At 42.7% G+C, this 18,459-nt stretch overlaps 1 protein-coding gene across 6 annotated transcripts in view, besides 3 other annotated features; it reads left to right on the forward strand.

Moving 5' to 3' along the window:
* The first annotated feature begins 208 nt into the window (after positions 1–208).
* The window catches only part of GPAT3 (glycerol-3-phosphate acyltransferase 3), a 70,289-nt gene continuing 52,038 nt past the window's right edge, over positions 209–18,459 (forward strand). Inside the window, exons 1-3 of one of the 6 annotated variants that reach the window (XM_017008780.2) lie at positions 209–511; positions 1,126–1,385; positions 9,158–9,224. In XM_017008780.2, coding sequence (XP_016864269.1) covers positions 355–511; positions 1,126–1,385; positions 9,158–9,224 — 484 coding nt within the window. In that variant the 5' untranslated portion in view covers positions 209–354. Of the gene's footprint in view, positions 512–535; positions 640–728; positions 1,386–2,320; positions 3,475–9,157; positions 9,225–18,459 lie in introns of those variants that run through there. The other 5 variants (NM_001256422.1, NM_001256421.1, XM_017008781.2 and 2 more) reach the window with 5 other exon arrangements.
* Positions 12,546–13,745: an enhancer, noted in NCBI's record as "P300/CBP strongly-dependent group 1 enhancer chr4:84469077-84470276 (GRCh37/hg19 assembly coordinates)". NCBI's record gives its function as "activates an origin of replication core promoter dependent on BRD2, BRD4, P300/CBP, MED14 and CDK7 cofactors, with strong dependence on P300/CBP, by STARR-seq in HCT116 cells {active_cell/tissue: HCT116}" and the evidence as "EXISTENCE:reporter gene assay evidence [ECO:0000049][PMID:35650434]".
* Positions 13,118–13,412: an enhancer, noted in NCBI's record as "tiled region #4722; HepG2 Activating DNase unmatched - State 5:Enh, and K562 Activating DNase matched - State 5:Enh". NCBI's record gives its function as "activates a minimal TATA promoter and a strong SV40 promoter by Sharpr-MPRA in HepG2 and K562 cells {active_cell/tissue: HepG2 | K562}" and the evidence as "EXISTENCE:reporter gene assay evidence [ECO:0000049][PMID:27701403]".
* Positions 17,686–17,815: a silencer, noted in NCBI's record as "silent region_15543". NCBI's record gives its function as "represses an Ori minimal core promoter by ATAC-STARR-seq in GM12878 lymphoblastoid cells {active_cell/tissue: GM12878}" and the evidence as "EXISTENCE:reporter gene assay evidence [ECO:0000049][PMID:35858748]".

Genomic DNA, 18,459 nt, shown 5'->3' on the forward strand with positions numbered 1-18,459 from the left:
TCTGGTCTCTAAGAGAACAGCAATGTAGTAAATAACATACAGGGTTTTGCCCTTCGTTGCTCTGATAAGGGCTGGCGCGGTAGAAGCGCGGAGCCTGAACACCCAGGAGACACCTGTCAGCTTGGTGAATGAAGGCTTGCGCCGGCCTGGCATTTCTGCTACGCCTAAGCGCGGATAGTATTGGCTGAATGGTAGGGGAAGGTGTGGTTGGAATCTTCCCCCAGAAAGGGAGTGACAGATACTTAGCCGCAGGGTTTCTGTGCCAGGGAGATGGCGGCTCAGTGGGCTAGGCAACGCGTGGAGAGAGCTTCCTACTCTCGGGATAAGCAAGATTGAGCCCCACAGCTGTAGGCCATGTGGGGAAGGAGGTGTGGAAGCCAGAAGCGGCGTACACGGCTGCGTGGTGCGCTCTGCGTTTTCCTGTCCTTGGAAGCCCTTTCCAAGAGTTCGTTTTACACCCACACAAACAAGACCTCAAGCGTCCCAGATACGTCAGCAGTTCATTCTGCGGGTGAAGAAAATATTGACATTTTTCAGATGAAAACTCTCCTCCTGAAAGGACCTTTGCTGAGTGCTGGGGGAGGCGGGGCGCGGGGAAGAACGGAGACCGCCCAGGAGGCTGCGGCACTCCTGGGCTAAGTACTGCCAGGGAGCTCCCCCGTTGGGTGACGGAGGAGGTGGGGCGAGGGCAGCGCGCAGAAATAGGGCGCTGGGCGCCCGAGCGCAGCCAGCTTCCAGCACAGCCCGCGGCCCGGTGCCAGCTCCGCCGGCGACCGGTGTGCCAAAGTGCGGTGCTCCCGCAGGGAACCTGGCTCGGGGAGGGCCTCCGTGAGTCATCTGCTGAGTTGTCGCAATCGCCACCCAGAGGAAATCAGGCACCGGGCGGGGCGGGTTCCTGGCTGCGCTCGCGCGCTCTGCCCGCGCCGCGGTGTGCCTCCGCTTACCCGCAGCTCCGACCACTGGCTCGCGCTACCCAGGTCTCCGCACGCCGCGGTGGCTTCAGCCCAGACCTGGGCAGCCAGCGGAGAAAGAGTTAACTGGCAGGGGCGAGGAGGAGCCCAGGGAGGAAGGAAGGATATTGCCGTAATTCTGAAAGTTTTTTTCCTTCCTCTCTTCCCTTCGCAGAGGTGAGTGCCGGGCTCGGCGCTCTGCTCCTGGAGCTCCCGCGGGACTGCCTGGGGACAGGGACTGCTGTGGCGCTCGGCCCTCCACTGCGGACCTCTCCTGAGTGGGTGCGCCGAGTCATGGAGGGCGCAGAGCTGGCCGGGAAGATCCTTTCCACCTGGCTGACGCTGGTTCTCGGCTTCATCCTTTTACCTTCGGTCTTCGGAGTGTCTCTGGGCATCTCCGAGATCTACATGAAGATCCTAGTGAAAACTTTAGAGGTGAGTGCCGGGAGGGATGCAGCCAGCCCCACACCGCTGCGGGCTGAGAACCCGGGGGTCCAGTTCTCAAGGTCAGTGGTCGCGAGTCAGGGGTGTGTGTGCGCGCGTGTGCATGCGTGCGTGCATTTCTGTTCCTTGCCCGCAGCAGTGCGAAAGTCAGCATCTCGGCTTCTTTCGCGGAGCTGGAGGGATCTAGGCTGGAACCACTGGACCACTCTGTTGTTTCTCTGGTCGAAGGCGAAAAAATCATTCCACTCCCTGAGCATCGTTATTATTTTACTGATTAGAATAACAACAATGCGACCAACTTTTTGTATCAGAGGATTTGCTTATATCCATTATGCAGTGCAGTTTCCGCTTCACCCGCTTGTTTTTACAGCCCCAGGTTTCAGAGGTCCTTTTGTGTACTAAGGCATCCAGTTCAGAAAGGCATCATGTTCTTCTTTATGCCCAAGATAAGAGACCAATTGCTGGATGGCAGAAAGAAATCTTATTTTATTTTAGTGGAGTCATGGAAATTTTATCTAACCAACAGCACTTGAAATGCCATTGAAAAGGTATATATTCTTTGACCTCAGGTCTCCCTACCCTCCTGTTTCCAAATCCTGCAAAGAAAAATGTTAGATGGAAGTAGGCCTGGTAGAGAACAACTGCAGCTTACTCTTAGGGTTTTATTAAGTGTCAAAAGGCTGGGTAGGGTAGGGAGGGCAAGTGCCAACCCCCTTTTACAGAGAGGGAAACTGAGAGTCAGAGATCAGTGGTTTCTTTGAATTAAGTGTTAGAAGCAGGAGTCTTTTTTTAAAAAAAAATTTAATTATATGTATAATATGTGTGTGTGTGTGTGTGTGTGTGTGTGTGTGTGTATATTTAACATAAGAGACAGGGTCTTGCTATCTTGGCTAGGCTGGTCTTGAACTCCTGGCCTCAAGCAATCTTCCTGCCGTCACCTCCCAAAGTGCTGGGATTAAAGGTGTGAGCCCCACGCCTGGCCAGAAACAGGCATCTCAACTGAGAAGAGGCCCTGCAGCCTAGTGGTTAGGATTAGGGACCCTGGATACAGGTTTGCTTAGATTTGGTACCAAAATTGTAGCTCTGTTTCTCAAAATGTGACCTTAGGGAGGTCATCTACTCTTGTGCCTCATTTTCTGTATCTATAAAATAGGAGTAACAATAACTCCTATTTCCATAGGGTTGTTCAAATGAGTTAAAAGGTATCAAGCACCTTAGAAGGCTGCCTGCACCTACTGTATGAATGCTTGTTGCTATTAAAAGAATAATATGATTACTGAGATTCTGGCATTCCACAGTGCCTTCTAATAAGTTTGGTTCCCATTTTTGTGACCTGTTTTCTCTCTGCCCTTAGGACGTGGCTTTATCTGCTCTTCTTTCTCAGCTAATTGGGTGGCTCCCAGGTATACATCTCTAACCCACTGGACATTGTCTTGTACTTGCTAGCCTCCTGTATTGCCCTAGACTCTTGTTTGTGGCTATTTCTTTGCCTAGACTTTGAAGTTGTATGTGATTCTTCATCCTCAGTGCTCATGTTTTTAAAGTTCTACTGTTTCTACTTGGGAGCTATTTCTCAGTTTTGAACTCTTCTTATTGACTTTACATTCTGAGCTTGGTCACATTATGCTGTGAATTTCTTGACTGCTTCCTAATGTGAGATCTTCAGAATCCTCTCCCATAGCAGATGATCCTCTTCAGCTGGTGTTCCCTCTTTCTCTGAACTCTGAAATGATTGAACTGCTCTCTCATACAGCAATGTCTTTTGGAATTTATACCCTGTGTAAGAATGGTGTAAAGGTAAATCACACCCACTGGCTTCCAGGGGCTCACTTCTGTCTGTTTTTCTTTAGTAACTCAAGGTCAGCTAAGGACGGAGGCCAGCTAGTTGCTGTCAGCCTGGCAAATTATTATACCTGATAGGATGATCTCCAGTCCAGGATCTGACTTTCAGTTTGACAGGCCAGAGATTTTAATTTTTGTCCTTCTGGATAACTCCAGAGCTGAACTCCTTGTCAATCAAACTGACAAGAATGCCAGTTTTCTAATTCTGGTGGGAGAAACCAGATAACTTGGAAACCAGGTAGGTGACACATCAGGAACCCACCCTGTCTGCTGAGACTAAGTTATTAGGTCAAAGAGATGCTTGATATATGTGGAATTTGAATACAGATTCATTGTGTGAGCCAGCTCTGATTTGTTGGTTGCGGCTGCCTGGAACTCCTATGTTTGGGAGCATCTGAGCTCATCAGGAAAGAGAGCTGTGATCCCATAGTGATTTCTGCTTTAGGTGCAGGAGAACAGTAACCCAGGATCCTCTATCCTTCAACTAGAACAGTGTTAGATGTTTCAAAGACATTTCTGTTAGACTGGGGTTAATACGGTGGATTGCTTTTCTCAACTATAGGAATAATTCCTTAAGGGATTATGCTGATGTTTAGCATTAGAACATCTTCAGTGCTGGCCAAATACCCTGCCTTTCTGTAGATTGCATTCAAGGCCTAGCCCTTGTATCACTCCTTGGTAAATTCTTAATTGATTTAGTTGTATTTTTCTTTACATTTCATTCCCAAGAATATTCTTTGGGCTCTGATCATAATTGGATATTTCTCAAGTTTCTTTGCTTATAATTTATGTACCATTTAAAAAGATCATTTAGTTTTGTCTATTATATGTTTACTTTGACAAGTTTTACTGTCAATGGGTGACTTTCTCATGACAATAAACTCAAATTCTAGAAGTTGAAATGTGTGTAGGGTACCCTCTAAATTGCTGATTTTGGTAATTGTTACTTGTTAACTCACTGAACTTTATGCTCTTCTCTGACTCCTTCTTAACCCACTGGTTCAAGTAATTATCATTTATTGAGCACCTACTTCTATTTTCTTCTGCATTGCTGGGTATCTCTAGATGTATGCGTAAGTCACTGATATGGCAAGATACTTGAGGATAAGCCTTGAATACTTAGCTTGGAATAAGTTTAGTGATTCTCCAAGCCAGTGATTTTCAAGGGATATATGATAATTTGTTGGATACGTATGTTAATATTACAGCTTTATAGTCGAGAAAATTGTTTTAGGAATACAAATTATGAAGAGTAAAACTTGGCCAGGTGCGGTGGCTCACGCCTGTAATCCCAGCACTTTGGGAAGCCGAGGCAGGTGGATCACTTGAGATTAGGAATTTGAGACCGGCCTAGCCAACATGGTAAAACCCCATCTCTACTAAAAATACAAAAATTAGCCAAGCATGGTGGTGTGCACCTGTAATCCCAGCTGCTCAGGAGGCTGAGGCTGAGAATCACTTGAACCCGGGAGGCAGAGGCTACAGTGAGCCAAGATCACGCCACTGCGCTCTAGCCTGGGTGACAGAGCAAGACTCCATCTAAAAAAAAAAAAAAAAAAAAAAGAAATCAGACTTAAAGCCATTTCTTTTTGGTGAATTTTGGACAGCTACCTTTTTCCCTCCAAGAGGATTTGGAAATTAGGTGGAAAGAGAACTTGGTTGATAAGTATCTTTCAACTTTCCTTGGGGGGCAGAGAATGTGGGTTGTTAGAAGCCACTTTTGTACTTTAGGACCATTTCGCTGACAGAGCTGCCTCTTTTGTGATGCCTTGAGACAGATATGTTCTGAGATACCCCTGTAAGAGATTCAGAACATCTGAAAGAGATATTCTGTCTTTGTATTTGGGTGGATCTGATTGGCTAGAGAAGCTGGCATGGTAAAAGAGAAATAGCTATTTATGGGGAGAAGCACTGGACAGTCTGGAAAAAACTGGCCATTGCAGAGGCCTAAAATATGGAATATAGGGAAGAGGAGGCTACTTTGTGGCCTACTGTGTGGTAGGCAGCAGCTACATTATCTCTTTTGGCCTTTATGGCCACCCTTGGTATTGTCCCTGTTTTATTTTTATTTTATTTTATTTCTTTTTGTGAGACAGAGCCTCGCTCTGTCACCCAGGCTGGATGGAGTGCAGTGGCACAATCTTGGCTCACTGCAACCTCCCCCTCCCGGATTCAAGTGATTCTCCTGCCTCAGCCTCCTAAGTAGCTGGGATTACAGGCAGGAGCCACCATGCCTGGCTAATTTTTGTATTTTCAATAGAGATGGGGTTTCACTATGTTGGTCAGGCTGGTCTCCGACTCTTGTCCTCAAGCGATCTGCCCGCCTTGGCTTCCTAAAGTGCTGGGATTACAGGCATGAACCACCATGCCTGGCTTTGTCCCTGTTTTAGAGATGATGAAATGGATGCCCCAAGACGTTAAAGTCTCTTGTCTGATGTCTGAGATGATTACAGCCAGGAAGTGGCAGAATTGCAATTCAAATCTATATCTATCTAGCTGCAAGGCACAGGCATGTTTTTACTTTCACCGGGCATCAACCTGTAGAAGAAAAGGGTTTTCTAGTGCAAATTCCCTTAGGCACTAAATGTCTGCTTTTTCAACCTTAAACTTAAACTTTGCATATCTTTTTTTTTTTTGAGGCAGGGTCTCCCTGTCACCTAGCCTGGAGTGCAGTGTCATGATGACAGCTCACTGTAGCCTCGACCTCCTGAGCTCAAGCAATCCTCCTGAGTGGCTGGGCCCACAGACGTGTACCACCATGCCCAACTAATTTAAAACCTTTTTTTTTTTTTTTTTTTTGTAGAGACAAGGTTTCACCCTGATGCCCAGATTGGTTCGAACTCCTGGACTCAAGGGATTTTCCTGCCTTGGCCTCCCAAAGTATTGTGATTATAGGCATGAGCCACAGTGTCTGGCCTAAAATTTGCTTATCTTAACACAGTAATTGTGTTATGCAGGGTAGACCTTTAGAGCTATCATTTCAGGAGATGGAATGCATTCTGAAACTTGTCTGGTGCCAAAACATGGAGTGCTTTTGAGCAGATCATGCTATTTGAGGAATATCACTGTATTAGTTTGCTGGAGCTGCCATAACAAAGTACCACAGACTGGTGGCCTAAACAACAGAAATTTATTTTCTCAGTTCTTGTAGCTAGAGGTTCAAGATCTAGATGTCAGCAGGTTTAGCCTCATTCTGAGGCCTCTCTCCTAGGCTTGGATGTGGCCGCCTTCCAGCAAGAAGGTGTAGTAGTATCCTCACGTGGCCCTTTCTCTCTGTGCTCACATCCTTGTGTCTATTTGCATGTCCAAGTTTCCTCTTCTTACAAGGACATCAGTCAGATTGGATTAGGGCCCACCCTAAGGGCTTCTTTTTAACTTAGTCACTCTTTAAAGACCCTATCTAAATATAGTCACATTCTGAGGTACTGGGGGTTAGAGCTTCAACATATGAATTTCGGAGGGACATAATTCAGCCCATAACAGGCACGGAATACCAGCATTTTCCATCATATGAGCATGGAATAATGGTTCTAGTCTAAGATAACTACTATTTGTATAAAATATAAAATCACTTGCCCACAGTGAAAAAAAGTGAGTCTGAGATTAACAATGATTGTTTACAAAATTTTATTTTAATCATATCTGGTTTACTTACAAATGATAATAGGCACTAAAGCTTTAAGTAAAAAACTATGGAAACAGTTACCTCAGTTGAGAAAAGCTGAGTGGTATTAGTCCAGAGTTTGAGAACTCCTGCACTAAATCCGCAAAAGATAACAGGATGCAATCAGATTAAGACCGAGTCTTATGATTTAGTCACTTGTCACTGGAAGTTGGGAGATTGGCCTCTATTTATAGGCTGTTCTCTAAGTGCAAATGGCATGTTCTTGTTTGGCTCTGTGGGTTGTTTTGAAGGGGTCCTGACGTAGTCAGATATCATGCGTTACTCCCTGACCTTGATGTACGTTTTAGGTTATTTATTCTCTATCAGTTATGTTCTTATTTATTTGAAAAAAATTTTAACCTCTCTAGTCAACAGACTCTTTTGAGCTTAGCAATAACTGAGGTTTTTGACTTGGCATATTAATAAATCTGTCTCTGGGCTGGGTGCAGTGGGTCACACCTATAATCCCAGCACTTTGGGAGGCCGAGGCAGATGGCTCACCTGAGGTCAGCAGTTCGAGACCACACTGGACAACATAGTGAAACCCCATCTCTACTAAAAATACAAAAATTGGCTGGGCCTGGTGGTGGGTGCCTGTTGTCCCAGCTACTTGGGAGGCTGAGGCAGGAGAATCGCTTGAACCCTGGAGGTGGAGATTGCAGTGAGCCGAGATCATGCCATTGGACTCCAGCCTGGGTAACAAGAGCGAAAACTCCTTCTCAAAAAGTAAAATAAAATAAAATATAAAATGTTAGCTCACGCCTGTAATCCCAGCACTTTGGGAGGCTGAAGCCAGTAGATTGCTGAGCTCAGGAGTTTGAGTACAGTCTGGTCGACAAGGTGAAACCCGGTTTTTACAAAAAATACAAAAATTAGCTGGGAATGATGATGCGGGCCTGTGGTCCCAGCTAGTCAGGAGGCTGAGGTGGGAGGATTGCTTCAGCCTGGGAGGTCAAGGCAGCAGCAAGCCCCTGTCTCAAAAAAAAAAAATTTTGTCTCTGCCCCTTCAAGGGTGCTTATGTTCAATAATAATTATTACAGTACTTTTTAGTATAAAAGCCCTTGGGATTCTCTAGAATGAGAGACTTGAAAAGTTCACTAGCAGTTTTTGAACTATGATGTTAATAGTGAATAATTTGGGAAATGTGTAAAAAATGTATAAAGAAAAAAATAAAAAAATCACATCTGGGTACGTTTCTTTATACTCCTAGGTATATTCAAAACAAAGTGAGAGTTGTTTTCCAGTTCTTAAATTCCCTCAAATCTGTAGATCTTCATAATTGTAACATTTTCCTATGCATCTTCATAAGTAACCATGTGGACAGATCATTTTCCGTAGTTCATGATTTCTTTTTCATTCTTTTTTTTTGTTTTTTTGTTTTTTTGAGAGAGTCTCACTCTGTTGCCTAGACTGGAGTGCAGGTGCCCGATCTCTGCTCACTGCACCTTCTTCCTCCCTGGTTCAAGCAATTCTGTTTCAGCCTCCAGAGTAGCTAGGATTACAGGCATGCGTCACCATGCCTGGCTAATTTTTGTATTTTTAGTAGAGATGGGGTTTCGCCATGTTGGCCAGGCTAGTCTTGAACTCCTGACCTCAAGTGATCCACCCTCCTCGGCCTCCCAAAGTGCTGGGATTACAGGCATGAGCCAATCGTGCCTTAGTTAATGATTTCATCGAGTCCTTTCCAGCTTTCCAAGTCTGTGCTGCCTCTTTCTGCAAGCTTATTTCTGATGCATCTTTGAGCGTGTCCTACCCCTGAATGTCTAATTTGTTGTGAAAATAATTGTTACACTTTACGCCCTACGTTTAGGCCCTTACATGTGTCATCTTGTTTAATGTGACAGCAACCCTATGGGATAGGATCTATTATCCTTGTTTTACAATGAGGAAACGGAGGCCTATAGGGAATAAGTAATTTCAAACCCAGACATTCTTGATGCCGTGACCTGTACTCATGCCCCCCATGCTTCACAGCCTTTTCAAGGAGTAATTTATCAGGTCACCAATGCATGTGAGGCAGTTGAGAAAGGGTAAATATTGTCCTTTCCACATTTTATTAGGGTATTATCAGTAAGTGATATAAAAGTATACTTGGGACTTGGAATATTGCTATATCAGAGATTCCCTGGGGTTAGCTCTTTAGTTCAGACACTGCCAGAGCTTGATGTGTAATTTCACTTCTGTATAATCATGGTTGAAGTGTTTTATGTTGTGTCTGTGGGACAGTTTAAATTAATATTTCTTGTTTTTGAACAGTGGGCCACAATACGAATTGAAAAAGGAACCCCAAAGGAGTCGATTCTTAAAAACTCTGCTTCTGTTGGTGAGTTTTCCTTTTCATTATGATTGTTACCATATTTAAATTGGGTGGATGTAAACCTACCCAATTTGAACTTGAAATATGCAGAGAGCAGTGTGTTCTATAGGGTTTGGATCTTTCATAATTCTGTCAGTGTAAAATTGCAGCTGCCAGAGTTTTCATGGACTTTTTATTGTAAAGGTGGTAATATGTGTTAGCTCATCTATATGTTCTTATAGGTATTGTTTTCCTTTCTAAGGGCATGTATTTGAAGATGGCTGTCCGTGGTTTTAAAGATGTAGTCGATGGCCAAAAGAAAAAAAAAAAGAAAGAAAAAGGCTAATGGGAGTTCCTGGGAGTTAAAACCTATTATTGAGGTTTCGTTAACCAACTTGTGATTCTCAAAGTATGTTCCTCAAAGTACTCTTTTCTGCTGAAGGCTAATTGGTAATACATGAAATAAAAAATAATTTTCTCGTGAAATAAGTTTAGGAATCATCACATACTATACTTGCCTTTGGAGAGTATTAGTGCCTACTAATAAAGGCTCAGAAAAGTCCTGCAATAAAGAAACATGCTTGACCAGGTGCAGTGGCTCACGCCTATAATCCCAGCACTGTGGGAGGCTGAGGCCGGCAGATCGCTTGGGCTCAGGAGTTCAAGACCAGCCTGGGCAACATGGCGAAACCCTGTCTCTACAAAAAATACAAAAATTAGCTGAGTGTGGTGGTGCGCACCTGTAGTCCCAGCTACTCAGAGTGGGGTCCTGAGGTGGGAGGATCACTTGAACCCTGGAAGTTGAGGCTGTAGTGAGCTGTGATCATGCCACTGCACTCTGGCCTGGGCAATACAGTGAGACCTCATTTAAAAAAAAAAAAAAGTCAAACTATCAAATACTTTACTGGAAGGAATTTATCTTCTGGAAGCTTTTCTAAAAGGAATTGTAGAAATTGTATTCTATAGTGAGTTTTGGAAATAACAAAATATTTGAAAACATTGGAGTATTTTTGTATAATTGGATTATGATTTTCAAATGATTGAAGCAACTAGTAGAGCTTCATGGTGTATACTTAAACACCCAAATATTATCACCAATCACATTTTTACCAAGTCCGGATATTTCTGGCTATATTTTATCCTTTTTTTAATTGCCAGATACCTTCTCTGAAATATAGCAGCTCTATCATTTAAAAAAATTATTCTGGTTCATTAAAAAATGTATGTCCTTATGATTTAAGGAAAGAACAAACTTTGTTGCTGGTTTTCTGTTGTGCTTGGTGAGACTCTGAGCTGTTGATCTTGAGAGAAAATCAGTGGGCCTTAATAGATTGGGGTGATTGTGGTACATGTTTTGGGCCATGAATTTTAATTTAATTTAATTTTCTTATTTAAATTAAATTAAATTAATTAAATTTTCTGCTTTTGAGACAAAGTCTCCCTCTGTCCCCCAGGCTGGAGTGCGGTGGCGAGATGTCGGCTCACTGTAACCTCTGCCTCCCAGGTTCAAGTGATTTTCCTGTCTCAGCCTCCTGAGTAGCTGGGACTACAGGCGTGCGCCACCATGCCTGGCTAATTTTTGTATTTTTAGTAGAGAAGGGGTTTCACCATGTTGGCCAGGCTGGTCTCAAACTACTGACCTCAAGCGATCCTCCCACCTCGGCCTCCCAAAGTGCTGGGATTACAGGCATCAGCCATTGCACCCGGCCCAGCCATGAGTTTTAAAGGACACAAAGTATTTCAATTTGGCAGGTGATGGGATTAAAAAATCAGTAGATGAGAGGGTCTAGTAGCGTGGATTTAGTTTTTTTTTTTTTTTTGCCTATACAGAAATGAGAACTTTTTGAATATTTATACTTGTTGGATTACTATTTTTATTATAATCTTTGTCAAATATCTGCTTTTTCTGTTTTTGATCTTTGTCTTTTCTATGGTGTCTCCAGGAAAGAATGGAAGTGAACAGGAGGAGAAAATAGAAATCATAGTATTTTAGAGTAATGCTGATACCCGCAAAATTTGTCATATTTCATTCAGAGTGTCTACCCTTCCTTGTAGCCTGTTAAATTGGAAATTGACTCTCACAGTTATTGAACAACTGCAACATGTAGGGCTGACAAAGGATCCAAAGTTGATTAAGACATAGTCCCTGTGGGGAGATAGGCATTGGACAGACCACTGTGATAAATACTGAAATAGGTGCATAAGCAAAGGACAGTGTGAGATCTAATTTCGGCTCTGATATGTACTGCTTTCGTCTCTGCTAATCCCACAGCTGTGCATGGTATGCAACTTTGCTCCCCTCCTGATTTCGTGCTTGGGTATCCAGGGGTACTTAGTACCAGGGGTATTAAGTAAGGGGTGTGTGCCCTGTTGATACATACTAGTATTTGGAGTCATCTGAGAAGTAGTGTCACAATCCTAGACAGACTGATAGAGGGTGATGATGAAACATTGAGTACTTGTGTGCTTGGCTGGTGCAGTTTTTGGCCTTGAGAGCACCATGTCTCTGTACCAAAGTTTAGGCAAGGGTCACAGGCAGGCCAAGGACCCCAGGAGTGTGGGTACAATTTTGAGGTGTGTCTGAATGATATAGTCCTGAAAATAGATTTTGAGGAGCTGAGAGGGAGAGTTATGCTTATTTTCTGCACTGAAAAACTTCCTTCTACTGCTCTTTTTTTTTTTTTTTTTTTTTTTTGAGATGGAGTCTTGCTCTGTCACCCAGGCTGGAGTGCAGTGGCGGGATCTCGGCTCACTGCAAGCTCCGCCTCCCAGATTCACGCCATTCTCCTGCCTCAGCCTCCCGAGTAGCTGGGACTACAGGTGCCCGCCACCACGCCCAGCTAATTTTTTGTATTTTTAGTAGAGACGGGGTTTCACCGTGTTAGCCAGGATGGTCTCGATCTCCTGACCTTGTGATCTGCCCACCTCGGCCTCCCAAAGTGCTGGGATTACAGGCGTGAGCTACTGCGCCTGGCCTCTGCTGCTCTTTCATTTAGTGAAACACATTTTTTTTTTTGAAATGCATTTCAAGTCTCCCTTCCCAGTTAAATCCCTCTTGCATTGTATTTCTTCTGTGCTTTTATTGAATAAGCCAACTGAAAGCTGAGCCTAGGCAAATTATTATCTTTGTGGTTAAATAATTATCTTCTGTCTTTAGCCATATTCTGCTGTGTCTTTTATTTAAAAGCTATTTAATTTGTTGAACTTCAGATATGATTATGGGTAAATCTCGTTAAGAAGCTCTGTTATTGCACTTTCACCTTCCTCTTCTTCTTCCCTTTTTTTTTTTTTTTTTGAGATGGGGTCTGGCTGTATTGTGCCAAATTCCTGGCCTCAAGCAATCCTCCTGCCTCAGCCTCCCAAAGTGCTGGGATTACAGCCATAAGCCATAGTGCCGGGCCATATCTTACTCTTCTAAGCTTAAGGACTTTTCCTCATTGTTAACACAAAGAAAAAGGTAAATCTTTTTCCCCACTTCAAGTAACTCTGTTATTCTGAGCATTAAACTTCAGTGGAGGTTATAGTTACCCTTCTACCCTAGTTTTGTCCCCTGAAAGCAGAAGTGCTAGAGCCACAGCATAGAAGGCTAGGACAAGAAAATACAGGAATAATGGCTCGTTTGCTTCTTTTTATCAGCTGTGCTTTGGTTGCTCCAGCCATAGGACAAATGCATCTCCTTGGACCCTGGGACTTGGTCTGACTGAGATCCTAGCAACTTTTATTTTAGCCTGTTTTAAATATACAAAGGATCGTTTGACTTTTAAGAGGCACCAGCCTTACTCTTTGGGCATCTGATTTCCAGGGATTATGATGCTGTTAGGTTGGAGTTTGAATCGGCTCATAGCTTTGGTAGTAATTGTGATTAATATTAGTAATTATGTAATTTTAGTGACTCAAGATGAATTGTACTCTAATTGCATTATGACACTAGGACATTTTAAATGATTACCATGAAAAGTCACCAAGCATGAATAAAGGCCTGCATTTACCTGGGAGTGAGTCATAAACACCACAAATACATAAAGGCGGTGGCTTGTCATTTTGGCATTGTTCCCTTAGAGGCTGATGCTGGCGTGACTCAGCATTGTTGGCCACAAAGTGCATGCAACCACTGCAAGTCTTACCCCATGCCCTGCTCCAGCGGCACCACACACAAAGACTGTGGTCTCATGGCCTGCTGTTGATTTAGCCCCTGTGCTAAATTTCTCTCTGCCTTGTATCTCATGCCCCCAAGTCTCTGCCCCTTTGCCCACCTAAACACTCAAAAAGGAGAAGGTACTAAGGTGAAATTTCGGTTGCTATACCTATTTGGAGAGAATTCAGGTTGCCTAACATGGCCCTCTAATTTTACTTTGGGAATTTTTTTCTGTGAGGCAATTGACTACTTGAAATCCTGTATACATTGATTATATGAACATTAATAAAATCTTATACATTCACAGAAAATATGGGATCATATTTTGTGACAGAAGTTTGAGAAATATCAAGTCAGGTGGGATCATGCATGCCTGTACTCCCAGATACTTGAGAGGCTGAAGGGGGAGGACCTGGAGTTTGAGTGTAGCCAGGGCAAAATAGTGAGACCCATCTGAAAAAAAAAAAAAAGAAAATTGAGGAATATTTTTATATACTTATTTTGTTTTGGACAGGCCATTTTTGATAGTTTAAATTAGCTAACTTGATTTTATGGTGTAAACTCTGTGAATACAAACCAGTATGTGTTGCCCTCAAGAATATGAAGTGTAATGCATCTAATGGGGTTATCTTATTGCTAAAATACAGGAACTTGTCTAGCTACTTGTAGAGAGCAACATAATTCAGTTATGGGGTTGGAAGGATTATAGGTTGGGGCTTTCTTTTTTATTTTGCGTGTGTGTGTGTGTGTGTGTGTGTATGTATATATATATGAAATATTATGTATTAGTATGTGAAATATATATGATTAATACATAATATATATTATTATTATTTTTTTAAGACAGGGTCTCACTCTATCACCCAGGCTAGAGTGCAGTGGGGCAATCTTGGCTCACTGCAACCTCTGCCTCCCGGGTTCCAGCAATTCTCCTGCCTCAGCCTCCTGAGTAGCTGGAATTACAGGGTGTGCCACCACGCCTGGCTAATTTTTGTATATATTTATTATTATTATTATTGTTATTATTATTGAGATGGAGTCTGGCTCTGTTGCCCAGGCTGGAGTGCAGTGGTGTGATTTCGGCTCACTGAAACCTCTGCCTCCTGGGTTCAAGAGATTCTCCCACCTCAGTCTCCTAAGTATCTGGGATTACAGGCATGCACCACCAAACCTGGCTAATTTTTGTATTTTTAGTAGAGATGGGGTTTCACCATGTTGGCCAGGCTGGTCTCAAACTCCTGACCTCAAATGATCCACCTGCCTCAGCCTCCCAAAGTGTTGGGATTACAGGTGTGAGCCACCACGCCTAGCCCATTTTTTAATTTTTAAATAGAGATGAGGTCTCACTATGTTGCCCAGGATGGTCTTGAACTCCTCAGGATGGTCTTAAGTGATTCTCCTGCCTCGGCCCCCTAGGTGCTAGGATTGCAGGTGTGAGCCACCATGCCCAGCTGAGTTTTTCTTTTTCTTTTTTTTCAAATATATTTTAAAGAATTGAAAAAATATACAGCTAGGTTTCACCATGTTGCCCAGGCTGGTCTTGAACTCCTGGGCTCAAGCAATCCATCTGCATCCGTCTCCCAAAGTGCTGGGATTACAGCCATGAGCCCCCACACCCAGCTGAGTTTTTCTTTAGCATGGCCAAATGTCCCCCTGATTGCATTAGTCTATCCCTATTTGTGAATATTGTGTCTGATGATGATGATGATGATGATGATGACAATTTTCAGACATACACAAAAGTAGAGAAAATAGTAAATGAGCCCCATATCACGAGATTCAACATTTGTCGAGATTTTGCCATGCTTGATTCATTTATCAACGCTCTCATTTTTTTGGTAAAGTTTTAAAATTTAGATACAAAATCTCATGTCTTTTAATGCATAAAGGACTTTTTCAAATAACCACAATGCTATTATCCCTTTAGCAAACAATAATTTCTTAATATCATCTAATATATTGTCCATATTTAGATTTCCCTAACAGTCTCAAAATGTCTTTATAATTGATTTGTTTGAAATGAATTTCAGTCATGGTTCACAAAAACATTTATTTTTTAATTTTTTGCAGTGCTTTAAGTTGGAAATATGAAAGTTTTTTGTGGGGGCAGGGGTGCAGTTTTATTTCTTGGAACAAAAATTACTTAATAGCAACTGATTCTGATAAAACTCACTAGAGTACTGTGCATTTTAATCTTTACATCTTAACATAGCTCTGTAGAAGGCAAAAGTTTGATTGTTAGGTTAGTCATCTGTATTTCTTTTACGTACAATATTATAAAAATTTAGTTCAATCACTTTGGAGAGCAATTTGGCAATACTTAGGAAAGTTAAAGACCAGAAAATTACACGACAACCCAACAATTCTATATCTCCTAAAATATCAAATGTACCCAGAGCCTCAGCATATATGTATTAGGTGACTTGTTACAAGTGTTTACAACCAGTGAAAATGTGGAGACAATCCATCAGGAGGAAAGTTAATATGTAAGCTGATTTATTTATACTGTACAGCAGTTAAACTGAATTAACTGGACTTACATGGAAAGAAAAAGGAGATGAATTTCAAACCATATTGAGAGAAAAGAAAATATATAGTATAATAACATTTATTTAAAATTTAGAATCACAAATAGATACTATACATTTATGTGAATATATAATATATGCATGGAAATTATATATACTATAGGGCAGTATATTGCGCCTGGCTGGGACAGGTTATCTTCAGGAGGGAGAGCAAGAGGTGGTGAGGAGGGGCTTTAACTGTATTTATAATTTTTTTTCTTTAAAATATACCTGGGCTGGGCGCAGTGGCTCATGCCTGTAATCCCAGCACTTTGGGAGGCTGAGGCGGGCGGATCACGAGGTCAAGAAATCGAGACCATCCTGGCCAACATGGTGAAACCCGGTCTCTACTAAAAATACGAAAATTAACTGGGCGTGGTGGTGCGCCCCTATAGTCTCAGCTACTCAGGAGGCTGAGGCAGGAGAATCGCTTGAACCTGGGAGGCAGAGGTTGTAGTGAGCCGAGATTGCACCACTGCACTCCAGCCTGGGAGACAGAGTGAGACTCCATCTCGGAAAAAAAAAAAAAAAAAAAAATCTATCTATCTATCTATCTATCTATCTATCTATCTGAAGCAAATATGACAATGAGTATTTTTTTTCTTGTTAAACTCATCTTTGGGGGGTTACATTTATATTGTAAACATAAAAAAGAGAAAACCCCAACCAAATAAAACATCAGTAGTCATTCAGCTAATGTTTATTCTGACAGTTAGAACTAGTTATATATGAATGGAAGATAGGTACCTTCTTGGGATGTGATTTGATGGTTATCTGCTCCAAAACACAGCTCCATTCAGCCTGACCAGTGCCTGGAATTTAAACTGAAACCTATGGAACAAAGGAGTTTTTAATAAAAATACATTACCTCTTAGAGCTGGCTTTCTCAACCTCAGCACTACTGATACTTTGGATTGGGTAATTCTTTGTCGTGGGCAACAGTCCTGTACAATGTGAGATGTTCAGCAGCATCTCTGGCCTCTACCCAGTAGATGACAGACAGTAGCACACTCCCATTCGTGACAACCAACAATGTGTGCAGACATTGCCAGTTGTCCCCTGGGGGCACTTCTCTCTCCTTCCCTCACCCCACCCCTGCTCATTTGTGAATCACTGCTCCTAGAGAAGAATGCATTAGTGTATTGGTCCCCACTATCGTTAGCATGATTTTAGTTTTCTAACAAATAGGCCCTTGAAGGAGCAGAATTTGATGCTACAGTTTTTGGTGGTTGATTTGGGAAGAATGGAATGACAAAGTAAGGCATAGGTGGGGGTGCTTAGATGAGCAGCAGGATTAGCAGATGGTGGAAGAGGAGGCAGGTTCCTTAAGGAAAGGTAGAAAGCAGACAAAGAAATCTTCCTTCAAACTTTGCCTCATAATCTAACGAGAATATACTGGTCTATTTTGGAGGGAGCTTTACTTAAAGTGGATTAGAGACTGGCATATAACTGTGCTTTATGGACTGAATGTCTATGTCCCCCCCTTCCCAAATTGATATGTTGATATGTTGATCCTAACACCCAAAGTGATGGTATTAGGAGGTGGGGCCTTTGGGAGGTAATTAAGTCATGAAGGTAGAGCCATAATGAGTGGGATTAGTGCCCTTATAAATACGGGCCCCAGGGAGTTGTCTAGCCCCTTCCATCATGTGAGGACACAGTGAGAAGATAGCCATCTGGAAATCGGAAAGAGAGCCCTCACCAGAACCTGACCCCACTGGCCCCCTGATCTTGGACTTCTAGCCTCCAGACCTGTGGGAAAATAAATTTCTGTTTTTTGTAAGCTACCCAGGCTATGGCACTCTGTTATAGCAGCCTGAAGTGACTAAGGCAGTGCTCTAAACCTCTGAAAGTAAATGACTTAGCATTTAACTTTGACCACTGATGAATGAGCAGGATGAAGTGGTTCTGGCAGGAAATGAGAAGGTAAAAGGTCAGATCAGAGTTATGGTCTTGTAACTGCATTGCGAAGTGATGGGTGTGAAGAGAGGGAATTAAGCCTTGAATCACAGAAAGGAAGGCTCCCATCTAAGGAAACTAGCTAGGACATTCATAAAATGTCTTGAATTATTTTTTAGATTGTTTTTCTTTTCGAATAGTAGTAACAACGTGGATAGTATTCCTATGCCTTACCTCTATTTTCAGTGAAACTAGTTAAAAAAAATGTAACTAAGCAGTTTTAAAATTTTCTGTCTCTAGCACTGACTGCTGAAGGTCTGGTTGGTGATTTAGCTGCATTAGTCCAAAACCCCTCAGCAGCTTGGAAGAGGGTACCTGCATCTCAGAGTTGTGGAGGTTTGAAAAAGTTGAGTGAGAACTGAGATTCAAAGATTATTTGAGGCCGGGCACGGTGGCTCATGCCTGTAATCCCAGCACTTTGGGAGGCTGAGGCAGGTGGACTGCTTGAGCCCAGGGGTTCAAGACCAGCCTGGGCAACATGGTGAAACCCTGTCTCTACAAAAACTACAAAAAATAGTCAGACATGGCGACTCAGGAGTCTGAGGTGGGAAGATCTCTTGAGCCCGGGAGGTCAAGGGTGCAGAGAGCTGAGATCGCACCA

The sequence above is a fragment of the Homo sapiens genome, chromosome 4 (assembly GCF_000001405.40).
Source record: "Homo sapiens chromosome 4, GRCh38.p14 Primary Assembly".
Taxonomy (NCBI): domain Eukaryota; kingdom Metazoa; phylum Chordata; class Mammalia; order Primates; family Hominidae; genus Homo; species Homo sapiens.